At 40.0% G+C, this 19,530-nt stretch overlaps 2 pseudogenes across 2 annotated transcripts in view; one reads left to right on the forward strand and one right to left on the reverse strand.

Moving 5' to 3' along the window:
* The window catches only part of FRG1HP (FSHD region gene 1 family member H, pseudogene), a 46,843-nt pseudogene extending 28,797 nt beyond the window's left edge, over positions 1-18,046 (forward strand). Inside the window, exons 5-7 of the transcript NR_156730.1 lie at positions 11,777-11,965; positions 12,882-13,000; positions 16,592-18,046. The product of NR_156730.1 is annotated as an FSHD region gene 1 family member H, pseudogene, transcript variant 2 (transcript). The remainder of the gene's footprint in view (positions 1-11,776; positions 11,966-12,881; positions 13,001-16,591) is intronic.
* The window catches only part of PGM5P2 (phosphoglucomutase 5 pseudogene 2), a 67,615-nt pseudogene that overhangs the window by 14,047 nt on the left and 34,038 nt on the right, over positions 1-19,530 (reverse strand). The window contains exons 5-8 of the transcript NR_002836.2: positions 19,303-19,493; positions 18,554-18,708; positions 10,314-10,455; positions 4,707-4,796 (exon numbers count right to left, since the gene is read on the reverse strand). The product of NR_002836.2 is annotated as a phosphoglucomutase 5 pseudogene 2 (transcript). The remainder of the gene's footprint in view (positions 1-4,706; positions 4,797-10,313; positions 10,456-18,553; positions 18,709-19,302; positions 19,494-19,530) is intronic.

Genomic DNA, 19,530 nt, shown 5'->3' on the forward strand with positions numbered 1-19,530 from the left:
CTTTAAAAAGACACATAAACAGTAGGCAGTCTCTTTTCTGCCATAAGACCACATCGTATGTGAGGGTAATAGCTCGCACTGCTGGGGCCTTTCCATGAGGAAATATCATCAAGGTCAAAGACCACATCCTGAGAATGATAGAACCTGGTTCCTTGAAGACATTGCTGAGGCAATAAATTACCCACCTCTGCTGCTGCCCTTTCTAGACATTTTAATACGAGATGTAACTTTTTCCTTGTTGTTTATGTCATTTGGAATTCAGTTTTTTTACTTGCAACAGAGAGCCACATTGCTTCCCAAAAACCTTGTTCCCAATCTTTGTGGCTATATCATGACTCCATTCGTAAGACCTGGTTTGGCCTCAGAGGTTTGCCCACTCTGAGCATCAATTTACTTATTTGTAAAATGGGAAAAATACTTTTCTCATCGGGTTGTAAATTGTCATATATAACACCCTGGACTATTTTCTCTGGTAGATATTCCTCCTCTCCTCCTCCTCCTCCTCCTCCTCATCATCATCATCCTCATCACCATCATCAAAAATATCATCATCATAGTTTATGTCAGCATCCTAAATTCTTTAGTCTAAAGAAAAAAATTAGCAATCAAATATTAAAGATATTTTACATCTTCGAAGACTGCAATATTCTACACTGAATGTTTAGGACATCATCTAAACCCACAGTACAGACAGCTAGTTGTCCCTCTATAACTCTCATCCCCTTCTATCTTAATAAGACAACCCCTCATTTTTAGCTATGCTCATGGCCATTCAGAATGAAGACTCCATTTCTCAACTTCCCTTGGAGCTATGTGTGGCCACATCACTAAGTCCTGGCCGATAGGATATATGCAAAAGTGTCAACTATCCACTTCCATGAATCTCCTTAAAAGATAGTGTAGTCCTTTGCCCTTCCTCTTCATCCTCTCTCTAGTTGCTGCCTAAATATGGGCATGGTGGCCGGAGCTCCCACTGCCTGGAACCCTGAGGACAAGGGCTGCATCCTACTAGGGAGGCAGAGCTATGAGCTAGACGCAATGTGGCCCCTGGGGGCTCTTTGCAGAACAGCCACTATCCCAGCCCTTCTAGATGGGGAAAGCGAGGCCCTGAGAAGTGATGAGAATCAGTGGCAAAGTCAGATGTACCACTTCAGTCACACACTCACATTTTTTTGCTTTGTTCTTTTTTTTTTTATTATACTTTAAGTTTTAGGGCACATGTGCACATTGTGCAGGTTAGTTACATATGTATACATGTGCCATGCTGGTGCGCTGCACCCACTAACTCGTCATCTAGCATTAGGTGTATCTCCCAATGCTATCCCTCCCCCCTCCCCCCACCCCACAACAGTCCCCAGAGTGTGATATTCCCCTTCCTGTGTCCATGTGATCTCATTGTTCAATTCCCACCTATGAGTGAGAATATGCGATGTTTGGTTGTTTGTTCTTGTGATAGTTTACTGAGAATGATGATTTCCAATTTCATCCATGTCCCTACAAAGGACATGAACTCAACCTTTTTTATGGCTGCATAGTATTCCATGGTGTATATGTGCCACATTTTCTTAATCCAGTCTATCATTGTTGGACATTTGGGTTGGTTCCAAGTCTTTGCTATCGTGAATAATGCCGCAATAAACATACGTGTGCATGTGTCTTTATAGCAGCATGATTTATAGTCCTTTGGGTATATACCCAGTAATGGGATGGCTGGGTCAAATGGTATTTCTAGTTCTAGATCCCTGAGGAATCGCCACACTGACTTCCACAATGGTTGAACTAGTTTACAGTCCCACCAACAGTGTAAAAGTGTTCCTATTTCTCCACATCCTCTCCAGCACCTGTTGTTTCCTGACTTTTTAATGATTGCCATTCTAACTGGTGTGAGATGGTATCTCATTGTGGTTTTGATTTGCATTTCTCTGATGGCCAGTGATGATGAGCATTTTTTCATGTGTTTTTTGGCTGCATAAAATGTCTATTTTAAAGTTCATATGGAACCAAAAAAGAGCCTGCATCGCCAAGTCAATCCTAAGCCAAAAGAACAAAGCTGGAGGCATCACACTACCTGACTTCAAACTATACTACAAGGCTACAGTAACCAAAACAGCATGGTACTGGTACCAAAACAGAGATATAGATCAATGGAACAGAACAGAGCCCTCAGAAATAACGCCGCATATCTACAACTATCTGATCTTTGACAAACCTGAGAAAAGCAACGGGGAAAGGATTCCCTATTTAATAAATGGTGCTGGGAAAACTGGCTAGCCATATGTAGAAAGCTGAAACTGGATCCCTTCCTTATACCTTATACAAAAATCAATTCAAGATGGATTAAAGACTTAAACGTTCGACCTAAAACCATAAAAACCCTAGAAGAAAACCTAGGCATTACCATTCAGGACATAGGCATGGGCAAGGACTTCATGTCTAAAACACCAAAAGCAATGGCAACCAAAGCCAAAATTGACAAATGGGATCTAATTAAACTAAAGAGCTTCTGCACAGCAAAAGAAACTACCATGAGAGTGAACAGGCAACCTACAAAATGGGAGACAATTTTCGCAACCTACTCATCTGACAAAGGGCTAATATCCAGAATCTACAATGAACTCAAACAAATTTACAAGAAAAAAACAAACAACCCCATCCAAAAGTGGGTGAAGGACATGAACAGACACTTCTCAAAAGAAGACATTTATGCTTTGTTTTAAAGCATCTGCTTGAGCTCTTCCTCGAGTCAGCCCACCTTGGCTCAATGGCATGGCTACCTGCAGCCACACCCCAGCCTCTGCTCTGTGATCTCCTCTAGGAGTTGGCCCTTGATGGAAATTTCCTCTTTAAATCCAAACGACCTTATCCAAATCTCACATTTCACATTTCTTCACGCTCACATTTCTCAGGCTCCTAACACCCACCTGATTTGATAAGAGTCATGTAAAGAAACCCCATCTGGTGGGAAATGTCCACCTTTCACTTCCCAAGTCTCTCCCTAGAGTACCAGTGAAATTGACTAATCGCTTTGCAGATAAAGGGACTCCAGATGATGTTATGAATTTTTCTGAAGTCATTATGAAAGCAAAAAAACAGCCACAATAACGATAAATTGGGGTTGAGATGTTAATTGTTAAAGAAAGTAGCCGATGTTATATTAGTAACAAAGGAGTCCACTTTCACAAATCTCTCCTCTGTCCTCTCATGCCAGTGCACAGGTATATCAAAGAGCAATTCTTTTTGCTCAGGATGTTTCTCTTATTTCACTTTTGTTGCTTTTGGCTGAACTACTAAACAGGTTATAAAATGAACAAATGCTCACAATATGCGCACAAATCACATTATATGTTTTAATGGGATGTGTGGGCAATACAAAGTCAAACCCCTATTATCAGAAGTAGTGGTAGGGATAAACATTTCAGGTCTGTTCGGGGGTTTGAGGCTTTTGGCCAGCATACAGAGACACAGATGTGTTATAAAAGAAACTCTGTATTTTCCCAGAAAGATAATTTTTCTAAAGAGATGGGACTTCTAGGGTCCTATATGTGTTCTATGGAAGCACCTAACAGAGGGAACAATGAATTTTCATGTGTTTTAGAGGATATTAATCAAAAAGTACGGATCAAAAGGCAATAGGGGCTGGGCATGGTGGCTCACGCCTATAATCCCAGCACTTTGAGAGGCTGAGGCAGGAGGATTGCTTGAGTCCAGGAGTTTGAGACCAGCCTAGGCAGCATAGTGAGACCTTGTCTCTACAAAAAATAAAAATAAAAAATTAGCCAGGTAGGGTGGTGCATGTCTGTGTTCCCAGCTACTTGGGAGGCTGAGATGGGAGGATCACTTGAGCCTGGAAGTTCATTGTAGTGAGCTGTGATTGTGCCACTGCCCTCCAGCCTAGGCAACAGACAGACCCCTTCCCCACCCCAAAAAAACGTAGGTCTATTCCTAGGTCATAACTGAAAGGCTCAATATATTAATACATATTTTTAAAAAGCTAAAGAAAATTAACAATAATTATTTACAAAGTAATCTGAAAAACTATAAAATAGAGATATGTGAGGTTCACACAGCAGAGTCCTCTGGAAGCTCTGAGGGACTCTGAAATGTGAATATACACAGCAAGAAAGCACCCCTGCCTCACTAGCATCCACATGTGGAAGACGGGGCCTGAGCACAGCCACTGGCCAACATTTAGTCCTTAATGTGGAAGCACGGGAGACTACTCATGAGAATCCACTGCCTATGCTTCACTCTCTTATCCATAAAGCCCCATCGCCATGACAATAATAGCTAACTTCATTGAACGCATACTGTGGACTGGCACTGCTCTAAGCACTATATATATATATATATATATATATATATATATATATATATATATATATATATATAACCTAATTTAATCCTCAGTACGAGACCCCATGCTATGGTTTGAATGTTTATCCCCTTCAAAATTTCTGTTGAAACTTCATCCCTAGTGTGGCAGTATCGAGAGGTGGGGGCTTTAAGAAGGGATTTGGTCATGAGGACTCTGACCTCATGAATGGATTAACTCATTCATGGATTAGTGGATTAATGAGTTACCATGGGAGTGGGTCTGGTGGCTTTATAAGAGGAGGAAGAGAGACCTGAGCTAGCATGCTCAGCCCCCTCACCCCCTGTACTACCTTGGGACTCTGCAGAGTCCTCGACAGTAAGAAGGCTCTCACCTGTTATGCCCCTGGACCTTGGACTTCTCAGCCTCCATAACTGTAAGAAATGAATTCCTTTTCTTCATAAATTACCAAGTTTCAGGTATTCTGTTATAAGAAACCAAAAATAGACTAAGACACCCTGAGAAGTTAGGTAAACAGCCCAAGCTCATAAAGTCAGAAGGCAGAGGAGTTAGAATTCAACCCCAGGTAGTCTGAATGCAGAGGCCAATAAAGGTCAGCGAGTTCCATGTCCCACTTCATACATGAGCTCATTTGAGAACACTGGCAGACATAAATGCTTGCTTTTCTTAAACTACATTCCCTGTCTCTCCCTCCCACCCCAAAATATAGGTAGTAGAATCTGTGTGACACAATCTTTATGAACAATGTCATCATGATTTAAAAACACTCCCCAGCTCTATCCTTCAGATTCACGCTGAAGCCACGGACCTCCCTGAATCTAGCAGAACACCTTACACAGAGAATATTAACACATTTTGTTGGCAGTGAAGTTTGCTAAAGGAAAAGGGAACATGGAAGGGAAGATGAGCTCCATCAGGAATATCCAGTACCATGCAGTGTGCTTGGCACACAAAAGGGGCTAAAAAAGGTTTTTTGGAAAATGGAAATGTGAGAGGTAGGCAAGGTGGGGAGGAAGGGAAGATAAGAAAAGAAGGAAGGAAGGAGGGAGAAGGGAAGGAGAAGCGAAGGGAAGGAGGGAGGAATAGAGATGGAGGGAAAGGGGAAGAAGGAAGAAAGGAATAAAGAGGAGAGGATGAGAAAGAAGGACAGATGACTACTTGAGCATATGCAAAGGTCAGAGGCAAGAACCACTGTTCCAATTTGAATACCACTGTCAGTTATTAGTGAGTCTCAGACTATTTGCAGGGGTAGGAGGAGGTAAGAAGAAGGTCCTGAATTCCCCCTCCAGAACTGCACCCCAATGGACTCACCTAGATCATATCCCTTTGCCATCAATTGGGTCCTAATTACTGCAGTTACTCTTTCTGGAAGGAAAAAAGAAAGATCTTGCTTTGGAGGACAAACGTATCCATTCTTAGTCACTTAGTTTGGGAAGGAATGACCCTCCTCCTAGCTCTACCTAATGAGGGGAAGGAGGCTTAAGACTGTCAGTCTATCCCATCGTCTATAGCCCCAGAGAATCAATGAGTCAGATAAAGTACAAACCCCAACCAAAGTCAAGACTTGAGTTGATGTTTTCAGTTTTTTCTTGGAAAGAAAAGCTTTGTCTTCCATCTTCATAGACAAGCTGGTGTAAGAGCATGGGGTCTAGAAATCCTGCAGACACTTGCTATCTGGACCAGACAGTCAGAGGCTCAGAGCCTAGGGATAAGAGTGATACCATCTAAGGCAAAGCAGACAAGAGGGAATACCAGGTCAAATGGTAGTATCATGTGAGCTGCTGGATCACGGTTCACCTGAGGCCAATCTACTTCAGTTACGTGGGCCAACACATTCCTTTTGCTATTTAGGCCCCATTTCAGCTAGTTTTCTCTAATTTGCTGCACAAAGATCCCAAGTGATATGATCTCTCTGTGAGTCCTGGTGGATCTTGCATTCTTAAATACAGGCATCAACTTACAAGGAGTTTTCCCTCATGCCAGAATATAAACCACCAATGCCATCAGGGACTCTAAAAGAACTTGGAACTCCAAATGACAAATTTAACCGTCAGGCAGCAACTTGATCAGAGATGAGATGACTGGATTCCCAGGTCTGGATTCCGCCCTCACCTGTGTAGGGCATATAGATAGGGCTGACAAGATTTGTTTTCATTTTTTCCTAGGCTCGGGCATCTCATATCCAACTGCTAACACATTATTTACTAGAGGATCTCATTGTACTTAATCGATATCTTTTATGTTTCTGGTCATCAGTGTTGTCTATCTCAGATTTAAAACTTAGGCTGGGTGCAGTAGCTCACACCTCTAATCCCAGCACTTTGGGAGGCCAAGGTGGGTGGATCACTTGAGGCCAGGAGTTAAAAACCAGCCTGGCCAACATGGCAAAACCCTGTCTCTAGTAAAAATACAAAAAAATTAGCCAGGCATTTTGTCACATGCCTGTAATCCCAGCTACTCAGGAGGCTGAGGCATGAGAATTGCTTGAACCTAGGAGGTAGAGGTTGCAGTGAGCCGAGACTGCACCACTGCACTCCAGCCTGGGCAACACAGCAAGACTTCATCTCCAAAACAAAACAAAACAAAACAACCTCTAGAAGGAATCATACCTGCTTAACCCACTTTACCCAGAATATAAGGGAGAAAAGCTGCTGAAGCCTAATAAATACTTTTTAATGCAGCTGCTGCTGATGATCTTCAAGCAGATCCTGAGGCAAAGATGTAAATTTCCAACCTTACCTTGAACTACGGTCAACATTTTCCTGGAAGTCTTAAGTTAAAGCCAGGACTGCTTCTTCCAGAGTTTTACTAAACAGTAGTGATATTCAACGTCAAAGTTACAGACGTATTGGGTTGAAATTAATTCTGCTTATCTGATGTTATCTACCACCTTGGGGGTAATACAGGTCTCTCTCCCTACCCCCACCCCTACCCCCACACCAACCCACACGAATGACTTTCACTCGGAGTATAATCAGAACTTTTGCTGCCCTCACAAATAAGGAATAGTGAAGAGATTATGAGGCTTGAGCCAGATTATCTGGTACCAATATTGACTAATTTATTCTGTGTGACCTTGGGCAATTACTTAACGTCTCATCATCATATTTTTCTGTAAATACAATGTCAATAATAGTGCCTGCCTCAAATACTTCTGAAGGTTTGTATGACAATCAAACAACATACTATATAACATAGTGGTCCCCAACCTTTTTGGCACCATGGACCGGTTTCATGGAAGACAATTTTTCCACAGACTCGGGGAGGGGGATGATTTGGGGATGATTCGAGAACATTCCATTTATTGTGCACTTTATTTCTATTATTATTATGTTGTAATATATACTGAAATAATTATACAACACACCATAATGTAGAATCAGTGGGAGCCCTGAGCTTGTTTTCCTGAAACTAGATGGTTCCCATCTGGAGATGATGGGAGACAGTGACAGATCATCAGGCATTAGATTCTCATAAGGAGCATGCAACCTAGACTCCTCACATGCACAGTTCACAGTAGGATTTGCTCTCCTATGAGAATCTAATCCTGCCACCGATCTGACAGGAGGTGGCACTCATGCAGTAATGCTCACTCACCTGCTATGTGGCCTGGGGTTGGGGATCTCTGCTGTAATAGAGTTCACTTGTAAATAAAAATGCTTTCCTGAGCACACAAAACTTTCAGGCAGCATCTTGATTCACCCTGCACATCTATCTTAGATACTATCTTTCCCTCAGCATGACAGGTAAAGTGAAATCAGTGATATTTAGCAAGCATTTAAGCAGTATTTCAATAGACCCAGCTCAACACTACCCTAGAAAGTTGAAGCTGAAATCCATTTTAAAACTTTTTTGGTGGGGAGAGCTACAAAATACATTTTGAAATATAAAGCACACACAAGAACTGCAATGCTCTTTCACTCCAGAAGTACCTTCAGGCCTAAGATGACTTAACATTATCCTCCTTCATTTTAAAACGTTGTCAAGCACCAAACTTCTCTGGTGGCTTGACAAAGCATATGATTGAGAGTTAGGCCGGGCTAAACTACCTTCCTTATATCTTTTATATCACCAATAAATTTGACTAATGACTGATATCTGAGAACCTCCAACTGTGTAAGTTATGTCTTTTCCAAAGACAAGATTGCAGGCCATATATTTATGTCCTGGTTCAAACAAAAAGGAAAGCAGTAAACAGTGATTCCAGAGACAATTCAACTCACCTGAACCTAACCAATGTTTATTGGTGGTCTAGTAAATACAAACCTCTATGCTGGGAACTAGAGTCATTCAAAGAGAGCAATGATTCTTGCCCCTAGTCAGAAAAGAAGTTCCAAGAGAGAAGCTTTGTTTTATTTTTAAATAAATAGAGTTTGATTATTTTTATCACCTTTATCAAGGTATAGTTTATATAAAATAAAATTCATTACTTCTTTTTTTTTTTTTTTTTTTTTTTTGAGAAGGAGTCTCACCCTGTCGCCCAGGCTGGAGTGCAGTGGCAGGATCTCAGCTCACTGCAAGCTCTGCCTCCCAGGTTTAAGCGATTCTCATGCCTCAGCCTCCCAAGTAGCTGGGATTACAAGCCTGCGCCACCACACCCAGCTAATTTTTGCAATTTTAGTAGAGACAGGGGCTTCGTCATGTTAGCCAGGCTGGTCTTGAACTCCTGACCTCAAGTGATCCTCCTGCCTCAGCCTCCCAAAGTGCTGGGATTACAGGCGTGAGCCACCGCGCCCAGCCAAAATTCATCACTTCTAAGTGTACAGTTTCATGAGCTTTGACAAATATATATATACACACACACACACACACACACACACACATATATATATATAGCTGTGTAACTACCACTGTAATCAAGATATGGAACATTTTTATCAGCTCAAAATATATACCTCATGCCTCTTTGCAGTAATCAATGGGATTGATTTTTAAATTGAATAAATATTTTAAGTCACAAGGAATAAAAGAGAGAGGTTATTTAACCAAATGTAGCCTCGGAAGACCAAAATTGAGATTACAAAGGCAGGCCATGAAGTTAATGTTCCCGTTGGAGAACAACAGCACGCCACATGTTCGAGACTGGGTGGCACTGAGACTGGATGGCATTGAAACCCCAGTTTAAAGTAGCCTTGAATCCCTAATCAGACAGGGCGATTCTAAGGAGCTTCTTTCAGTATTGGATCCATCCACCACTGGTCAAAGTGACTTGTTTAGACCAAGAAGGGCCACATCGGTGGGAGGGCTGAAAATAGGCTGCTGGACACCCTAAATAATGACAATGCCCTTCCCGAGACAGAATCTGAGTATCAAAGAGTCCTCACAAATACAGCAGATAAAAGAGAGCTGACTTCCAAAAAAGGTTCGTCTTTCAGTTCTCATGGGAGAGTGATGACGACTATATATTTTAGCACTTGGGTTACTTAACATTCATCTAAGTGTTTTTCTGACTAACTCAGATAGCAGAAACCCAAGATGGCTCAGAAAAATTGAATAAAAGATGATGCATCCAGCATTTCCAAGAGGATTTAGCCACTATCTCCAAATCTCCTACAGTTTATAGTCTTAAGTGTTAAAAATTTATTCCTCTCACTCTAGCCAGTTAATACATAAATGCTTTTTACTAACTACAGGCCTGAGATCACTTTCCCATTAGACACCAACTCTTAGAAACACACAATTACAGACTTGAACCAGTCTCAGCATCCTTTCCAGTAGGTCAACACACAAACCATAAAGGAAGGCCACCTTATGCATCTTGTAAATGCCTTGGTAGTGAATCCAGTCCTCATTCAATTTGCCAGGGCAGGGAATAAACAACCTTGCGCTTAAGTTCAGGCTGTGGGGAGTTTTTCATTATCGACTAGGAAATAACTACAATGCAGTTGCTTCCTTTCATCTCACATTGATTAAGCTGTATTTGCTAAGAGCGTCAGTACCCACATATCATTACTAAAAATCCAACTCATTACAAACTCACCTAAATGTAAATGAAGACCACAAATCAGGCATAGTTTTATTATATCCAAAGGAGATTGGGTCATTATGCACCATTCATTTTCTTCTTATTAGTCGGGTATATTTTTCTTTGCAATCAACAGATAGTATCACCAGATGTCTCTCTGTACCAAAGTCAAAAGAAGCATGTTGATAGCTCATAGTAGTTAACTTTTTGAAATATCTGTTGGGGTGGAGGGAACATGGTATCAAAGGACTTACTGAGAAGGGGATGCTTGACTCAAGCCATAAAAGATAAAGAAGAACAAAGTGGAATGAGGTGGGGCAAAGGGAATACATTTCAGGGACAGAAGTGCATGCAAAGGCATAGAAATGTGAGGGCATCGAATTTGGGGAACTGTAAGCAGCATGACATGTTTAGAGTGTAGGATAAGAATGTCTGCAGGAGTGAAGTGTTCATAATCAGGAGATTATGCATGTTCTATAATCAGGAGATTATGCATGTTGTATAATCAGGAGACGGAATCTCCTGCAGGCATTCAAAGCCCACCAACCCATTTTAAACAAGGGAAGAAAATGCACGACTTTCTGCTTTAGAACAACTGCCCTTGGGACAGTACAGAAGAGGAAATGAAGAAGAGGAAGTCTAGAGGAAGTGGGAACAGTTTATTGACTATTACAATAGTCCAAGCAAAAGATAATGAGAACGTAAATTAGGAAAGGAAAAGTAGGAATGGAGAAGAAATAATGATTTAAAAACATTTAAGGGATCCTTCTAACAAAACCCAGTGATTAGTGGTACATCTGGAATGAGGGATTATTCCAAGGTTTATTATTTAGATAATAGGTGACTCATGCAGAGACTAAACACAGGAAAAACAATTTTCAGGAAAAATTAGAAAAGTTGCTATTTATACATGTTAAATTTGAGTTGTCTATAACAGATCTGTCTACTGATATCAATTTGGCTATCGAAATCAGGAGTAAAATTTTGTCTAAAGATAAAAGATGAAAATTAGAAGTGCCTAAAACTGACAACGGGTCTAGTATCTAGATCATCCAAGGAACTTCTGCAAATTCATCAGACTAAAAAGAAGAACCCTAAATAGAAAAAAAAAAATGGTCAAAGGACAGGAATAGGCAATTAATAGAAAAGGAAACTCCCAAATTTCTCAAGCATATGAAGAGATGCTTAAGCTCATTAGTAATGTGAGACATGAAAAATTAAAATTGCAATGGTATGTTACTCTCTATCTAGTCTACTGGATAAAAATTAGAAAGTTAGACAACATGAAGTGTTGGCCTGGATTTGAAGATGCAGGAACTTAGAGACCGGTTGGAGAAGCAGGCAAGAGATGGGCATTCTGGAGTGCAATCTGACAGTATTTGGTTAAAATTGACTAAATTAAGTATAGACACCCCCTCTGGCCCAATAATTCTGCTTCTGAATACACGTGTTGAAGAGATTCTCACACATATCCACAGGGTGCCTGTGCAGCAGTATTCACTGTGATAGGAAGTGAGAAGCAGTCTGAGTGTTCATTGCTGAGGGAATCAAGGGCAAAATATCATGGATGCACTCATGGACAAATAAGCAGCAGTTTGAAGCAACACCCTAGATGGATGTACAGCCATCAAGAGGATCTTAAAGTGTGGTCTTTAGTGGAAAAAAAGGTAAGAAATCAAATACAATCTCTTATATAGTACTAGTCATATTAAGTAAAAATATATGCAAAAAATATATACACAAAACCCAATAAACACATTTTTTGTGGTTGTCTATGGTGGGGCAGTCAAACAGAGAGAAAAGAAATGCATTATCATTTTTAAAGTAATAAGAAATGAGCCTTCAATCAGACCAATTATTAAAGGATTGTTCAATGATGAGTATGATTAAGTCGACTCTCTATGCCTGAAGTCCAAAAAAGAGGGAAGAGGATGAGACTAGGAGATAAGCAAGTAGAAATAAGCAAAAAGATGGGCCATTGTGCCATTTATGCTGGTGGCTTTTTGTCCCCTTCTACCCCAAAATCCCCACTTCATCAAATGCCCTGTTCTCTTCCCCAGGAGGCAGAACTCCATAGGCTGCCCTCTGGCTTCCAGTGCGGTTTGGTTATAGGAGGCACCAGCAGGAGGTTGGAGGGTGAGAAGAGACAAGTTGGGGCATTTCTCCCCCCTGCCAAGTTCAGCTCTTGTCTGACCGCCCACTTTTCACAACTCCAGATCTCACTAGGCTGTGGTCACCCTGACCTCTCCCCTGGACCCTTCTTAGTCCTAGGGGTGTTAACAGCTTCCTGCTATTGCTGTTGCTAAGGTACCTCCCCATTCCTTCTTGTGTTTTTTGGTTTCCTTAACCTCATCCGTTCCTTAGACCAGGTTATTAAGTTACAATTACTAAATTCTCTTTAGTAAGACCTTTTTGAGGGTGCCATCTCTTTCCTGCCTTGATCCTAACTGAATCAGCTATACAGAGTTTCAGGGCAATAACTTACAGGATGAAGGGCTTTCTTCTTTTTTTCTTTTATGTTAATATAGGTTACATTTGAACATATTTATCTGCTAAAGCGAAATGTTTCCCATCATTCTATAGCAGAAGCAATGTATGGGAGACTGAGTAATTACATATGAGCTCACATCACTATCTCTTCCACCACTGTCATCCATCATGACTGATCTGGGAGATGAAACAGCACAGATCTAAAGGACGTGGTAAGAATCGAGATCACCAGAGATCAGTAGATACTTGCATACTTGGAGGATTAACACTGTCTGGATTCCAACGATCAGCTGAGTATGTTCAAGATAAAGCTATAGTACATATTTTAGATTGGGAATTGGCAACAAATAGCTGTAGACTACCTTCTGAGGAATAAGTGTTTTCACATGTGTGGGTGTCATTTCTAATCCCAGCATCACAGTCAGGTCCAGATACCTGTTTCTGATCTTTGGTCCTATGCCTAATCTCCTCCAAGAGTCCTTCCCTGGATCTCCTATCTAAGCAAGATGCTCGATGCCCACCAATGAGTACTGCACCAAGTTCATTTCCACTAGCCTGTGTTACAATTTGTGTTTCTGTATGTTTCCCTTACTTGTTATTCTTTGTCTTCCCCATTAGACTGAAAGCACCGCCACGGGGACCGTGTCTAGGACATAGGAGGTCCTTAATAAATATTTCTTGAGTGGATAAATGGTGAACCATAGGGGTGGCATAAGAGCAAATAGAGGGTAGATGAGCACTAATCCATTCACCACCCTGTTTATGGGTGGTGGACCTTGGATGGCCTTTTTCATAGTCAAAACATACTTTTTAGATCTGCCTTCTTGGGATGTATTCAAGGATGCTAGCCGTGTTTGAGACTGTAAATATGTCTAGTGAATAGGGCTTCAGGCTGTGTGTGTTTGCCTTGTTTTGCACAGAATTCGGCACAGCCCCAAGCACAGATGGGTGCTTCATAAATATTGTTGAAGGATGATGACACAAAGGATTATTTAATACCTCTGACCTCAGGCCACAAACATACTTTCAATGTGTTTTACTTCTGAAATCATTTGAACCAGAATGTTTCAGCAACACAGATTCATCTGCAACCACAAATCAGACACATTTAGAATGACAAAGCCCCAAAAGAATGCCATTTTCAAGGCTGAAACTGTATTATTCTGGGCTAAATGGAATCCTTGTTTTAGTGACACTGTAAGAGTAGAAATTAAAGACACTGAAAATCTTCCCTTGGGGAACCACAATTATCTGTGAACAATGAAAGTTTGTCTGAATAATTCATCAGCCTCAAGGGTACAGGCCTCCCCTTATTCTGGAATCCCAGGAGTTTAGGCAAGTGTGTCATTTAATGGGTCTCAACTGTGTCCTCAGTTGTTATTATTCCAGGGCCTGGCATTTATGGGCACATTCCTATAATTTTACTAATTAAAAAAAAATAAGCTATATGGGAAACCACTGTCAAGGTCAAAATTTTGAAGCTGCATTGATTTTACCTAGGAAGAAAGAAGCTTATAAAGTGTCCATCATGAGAATCCACCTGGGACCTACACAACAGATCAAATACCCAGAACAAATCACCACGTCAGAGCCCCACAGAATTCTGATTCCCAACCAACAAGCATGAGTAATCCTTTTAAATGGTCACTTACATATCAGAACAGGTCCTTTGTGAAATTTCTAAGCAAGGCCTCTGGTTTCTGACTGAAACAGAGATTTATTGAGAAGGAGGGGTAAAGTGAAATCAAGAACTGCTGGGAAATTTCCACAAGAAACAAGGACAAATGGTTTTTGTTGTCAGAGTAAAACCAGCCTCCCCTAGCCATGGTTTGGAAAGTTATTTGCTAGCCCACAGGGGACAATATTCTCAACTGGTTTATCAGGGACCCTTTTGATCCAATTATAGTTATTGGGCAGATACAGTAGTACCCTATTATCAGAAGACCTAGTTTCAAATCCTGAGTCAACTTCTAATTCACTGTGTGACCTTGTACAAGTCACTTAAGCTCTCTGATCATTGGTTCAACATCTTTAATATGAGGAGAGTAATGCCTATCTCAATTACCTCATAAAATTATTGCAAAGATCAAGTGAGTTGATATGTTACAAATTATTTCTAAATTATAAGATTCTGTATAAGTGGAAGGGTTAAATATACTCCCATATTATTAAATACCCTACGTATCACTCAGGATTCTATATGACTCTGAGTTCTCAATTTCTAGAAATGGTCCCATTTTTACTTTGTTCCCTACAATTCTACGGAGTCTTTTTTTTTTTTAAAGGAAGGGTGTAGGCAAAGGTAAATGGGAGAAAACATGGAATCACATACCACTCTTTGGTGCTGCTAGGCAAGAATTTTAAACTGAGTTTAGGTCACCATCGTGGACTTAAGGTCCATATCACCTCAGGGAGACAAGTAGAGTGGGAGGCATCCAAAAGGTAGGTGATTCTTCTCCCCTCTAGTGAAGAATACAAGGTCAATTTACAAAAAAGCACCAGCAGCAAATAATTGGAAAATTAAATTCATAAAACATTTATAATAGCGTCAAAAAAAAGAAAATACTCAGAAATAAATTTGACAAAAATTGTATAAGATCTCTACATTAAAAATTATGAAATACATGTAAGAGAAATTAAAGAAAACCTAAATAGAGAGATATACCACATTCATGGATTGGAAGATTCAAGATTATTAAAATACTATTCTCCCCAAATGGCTCTATAGATTCAACATAATCCCAATCAAAATCCCAGTAGGCTTTGGTAGAAATTGAGATGTTGGTTCTAAAATGAAATAAAATGCAGAGGACCTAGAATATATAATTTCCCTTTAATTTGACAAAGAAGAAAAACATGTTGGGAAGCTCACCTAATTTCAGTGTAATATTTACATACGAATCAACAAATGGATCAGTGGTATAGAATAGAGAATCCTGAAATAGATCTACATATATATGGCCAACAGATTTTTAATAATGGTGCCAAGGCTATTCAGGGGAAAGAAAATTCTTTTTTAAAAATGGGATTGGAAAAACTGGATAAGGGAAATAAGTGAACCTCGACCCCTACCTTATACCGTGCTCAAAAATTAATTCAAAATCATTCTAGACATAAATGTAAAAGTTGAAACTGCAATGACTCTAGAAGAAAATATAGAGAAAATATCTCTCTGACCTTGGAGGAAGCAAAAATTTCTTGTAGTTGACAAAGACATATATAATAATCATATAATCCATTAATTATAAGAAAAATAAACTAGACTTCATCAAAATTTAAAACTTCTGCTCATCAAAAGATACTAATAAGATTAAAAGTAGCCAGGTTCAGTGGCTCATGCCCATAATCCCAGCACTTTGGGAGGCTGAAGCAGGGGGATCACTTGAGGCCAGGAGTTTGAGACCAGCCTAGGCAACATAGCAAGATCTCATTTCTACAAAAAATGTTTTTAAAATTAACTGGGTATGATGGCGCATGTGTAGTCCTAGCTACTCAGGAGGCTGAGTTGGGAGGATTGCTTGAGCCCAGCAGTTGAAGGTTACAGTGAACTATGATCGTACCACTGCACTCCAGCCTGGGCAACAGAGTGAGACCCTTTCTCTAAAATAAACAAATAAATAATTTTTATGTCATCTGAAACTAAGATCATACTGAAATTTTCCCTCAGTGTCTCCAGAATGTCTTTTTTGAATGGTTTGCCCAATGTAGTATCTCATTTAGAACCACGTGTTATGGCCCTTCAGTATTTTTTTGTTGTTGTTGTTGTTGAGACAGAGTTTCACTCTTGTTCTCTTGTTGCCCAGGCTGGAGTGCAATGGCATGGTATCGGCTCACTGCAACCTCTGTCTCCTGGGTTCAAGCGATTTTCCTGCCTCAGCCTCCCAAGTAGCTGGGATTACAGGCATGCGTCATCATACCTAGCTAATTTGTCCCATAGAATCTCATCTTCTGGATTTTGTGGCTATTTTTTCATGGTGTTGATTCATTCATAAGGTAAAATTTATATACAGTGAAATGCATTTTATGGGTACAATTCAATGAGTTTTGAAAAGTGTGCACATCCATGTAACCACCACCCAGATTAAGACACAGAACATTCCCGTCACCTCAGAATGTTTCCCGGTGCCTTCTTCCTACCCCTCATACAGTAACATTGTAATAATTTCTATTGCCACATATATGTTTACCTGTTCTGAAACTTCACAGAAATGGAATTATATATTATGTATTTGTTTGTTACTGGCTTTTTATCATTTAATTTTTTTTTATTCATCCACACCCACTGCATGTGTCAGTATTTCATTCCTTCTTGTTATTGTGTAGTATACGAATATATAAATATATCACTATTTTTGCAATCTCCTGTTGATGGACATTTGTATTGTTTCCAGTTATTAGCTATTATGAATCATGCAACTATGTATATTATTATACAGGTCTTTTGTGGACACATCTCCATTATTTTTGGGTAAATATTTAGGAATGGAATGTTGGTCAGCTGTAGGCTCCATTTTACAAGAAACTGCCAAACTGTCTTCCATTCTACACTTTTGTTTGCAATGTATGAAAGTTCTGGTTGCTTCCTATCCTAATCAACATTTGGTGTGGGACTACAGGAACATGCCACTACACCTGATTGATTAAAGAAAATTTTTTGTAGAGACAGGGTTTTGCTCTATTGCCCAGGCTGGTCTTGAATTCCTGGCCTCAAGTGATCCTCCCACCTCAGCCACTCAAAGCTCTAGGATTACAGGTGTGAGTCGCCACGACCGGCCAAAATTTATTAATTGGTAGTTGGCAATTGTTGATGGAAAAGAAAAAGCAGGTTACAAGCAATGTACTTTTTGATGTCTTTGGTATTATCACAGGCAAATAAATTATATATGTATATATATTATGTATATTATATTATGTATTTTAATTATATGTGTATAACGTATATGTATAGAAAGAGATACAGTAAGGAATATAAGTTTTTCTATTAACATAGGTAACCCAAGGTAGGGGATAAGATGTTTACATTCTCTTATTTGTGTTTTCTAACTTTCCACCAGGCACATACACTGTTTCTATAATAACACGTGCTGGTTGAAAATGTCAGACTCTGAAATTCAATGTTTTATAATATAGGGTGATAGACAAGAGGGATGGATAGAGCAAGAAGAATGAAACCTAATAGGGTTAGTTAGAGCCCTACTGAGTGAATCTCTTGTTGGGTATTTTCCATGCACTGTCTCGTTTCATTCTTACAATAAACCTATGAAGTATCATTTTTCTATTTGTACAGCGCTAATAAGGCTATAAGTTAGCATTTGAACATAATATAATCTGACCTCAAAACCCATGCTTTTTTTCCCTCACTTATACATACATACTTTCAGGTTAATAAGTTCTGTTGCTAAACATTTATGTAGTATTTACTATGTACCAGGCACCATGTTAAATGTTCTACATGAAGCACCTCATTTGTACTTCATGACAATCCATATAAAGATACCACTATTATTATCCACATTTTACAGATAAGAAAACTGAGGCACAGAGACTAAATAAATCTAAATTCCCACAGCTAGTAAGTGGCAGAGCCAAGAATTAAGCTCAGGCCACCTGATTCTCCAGCTTCTACCCAATACACTATACCGTGTTCCCATGTTTTCAACACATTCCCAAATGGAGCAGGGGAGAATAAGCGCCAGCAACCAACAAAGGAGACATCGACGCCAAAGGTCTACCATAAAGTTTTTCACGGTGACATCCTTGCTTACCTGTCCAGGGCCATGCTGGTTGGCATACTCCTCCCAAACCCGCGGACCCCCATCTGATGGAAATATGGAATGCAAGAGAGGTTGGCAGCAATGATGGCCAGGGAGTCAGAAGGGCTCACAAAGAAGCCATTTTGGCCTAGGATCATATAACGGTCCTGTAGGAAGGAATGCGTAAAAATGATCGGACAGAAGCATCTGCTAGCAGCCCATTCCCATAATCATCACAATCCACTTTACTGCCATCTTATATTTAACAATCTAACAACTTGAATGAGGCCAAAGAGAACATGGGAAACATTCTTCAAAATCTCTGAGTACCAAGGGCCCAGATTCTTGACACACCAGGAATATGTTCCACCTGTTGAAATGTGGCTCAAGCTTTAGAAGCCCCCAAATACCTAATTCTTTCTTTCTCCCAAACATAATGGAGAACACTGCTTCTTGCAGAAATAGCTGATTTCTTAACTTGGTGCTTTCAACAACACCAGCCATAAATAAAGATTTATTGAATAATATATATTTTTAAATAAACAACCTTTGTATGCCATAATGTAAATCTGGAACTAAGAAAAGTAATCGCTATTTAATTGCAATACTTAGTCATTAAACAGAAGGGCAGATGCAGAGCCAGTTAGGGCACACATGCCCCATACATGTTAGCTCCAGATGTGTTCATTAATTCTCTGCTTTCCAGTGCATGGCTCATTATATGATCAAAGGGTCAGCAGACAGAGAGCTTTCCTACTTACCCCATCAGCATCAAATGCAGCTCCAAATCCATATTCTCCTCCTTTCATTGCTTCCAGAAGAGTCATTGCATATGTCAGGTTTGGGTCAGGGTGCTGCCCTCCAAAGTCTTCCAGGGGAACACAGTTTATTGCAGAATTGGCTGGGGCCCCCAGCTCATCACACAGAACTTTTCTCACATAAGGTTCCATAACTAAAAATAGATACACAGCAATATTAAATATTTGCAG

This window comes from Homo sapiens, chromosome 9, assembly GCF_000001405.40.
Source record: "Homo sapiens chromosome 9, GRCh38.p14 Primary Assembly".
In the NCBI taxonomy this organism is placed as follows: domain Eukaryota; kingdom Metazoa; phylum Chordata; class Mammalia; order Primates; family Hominidae; genus Homo; species Homo sapiens.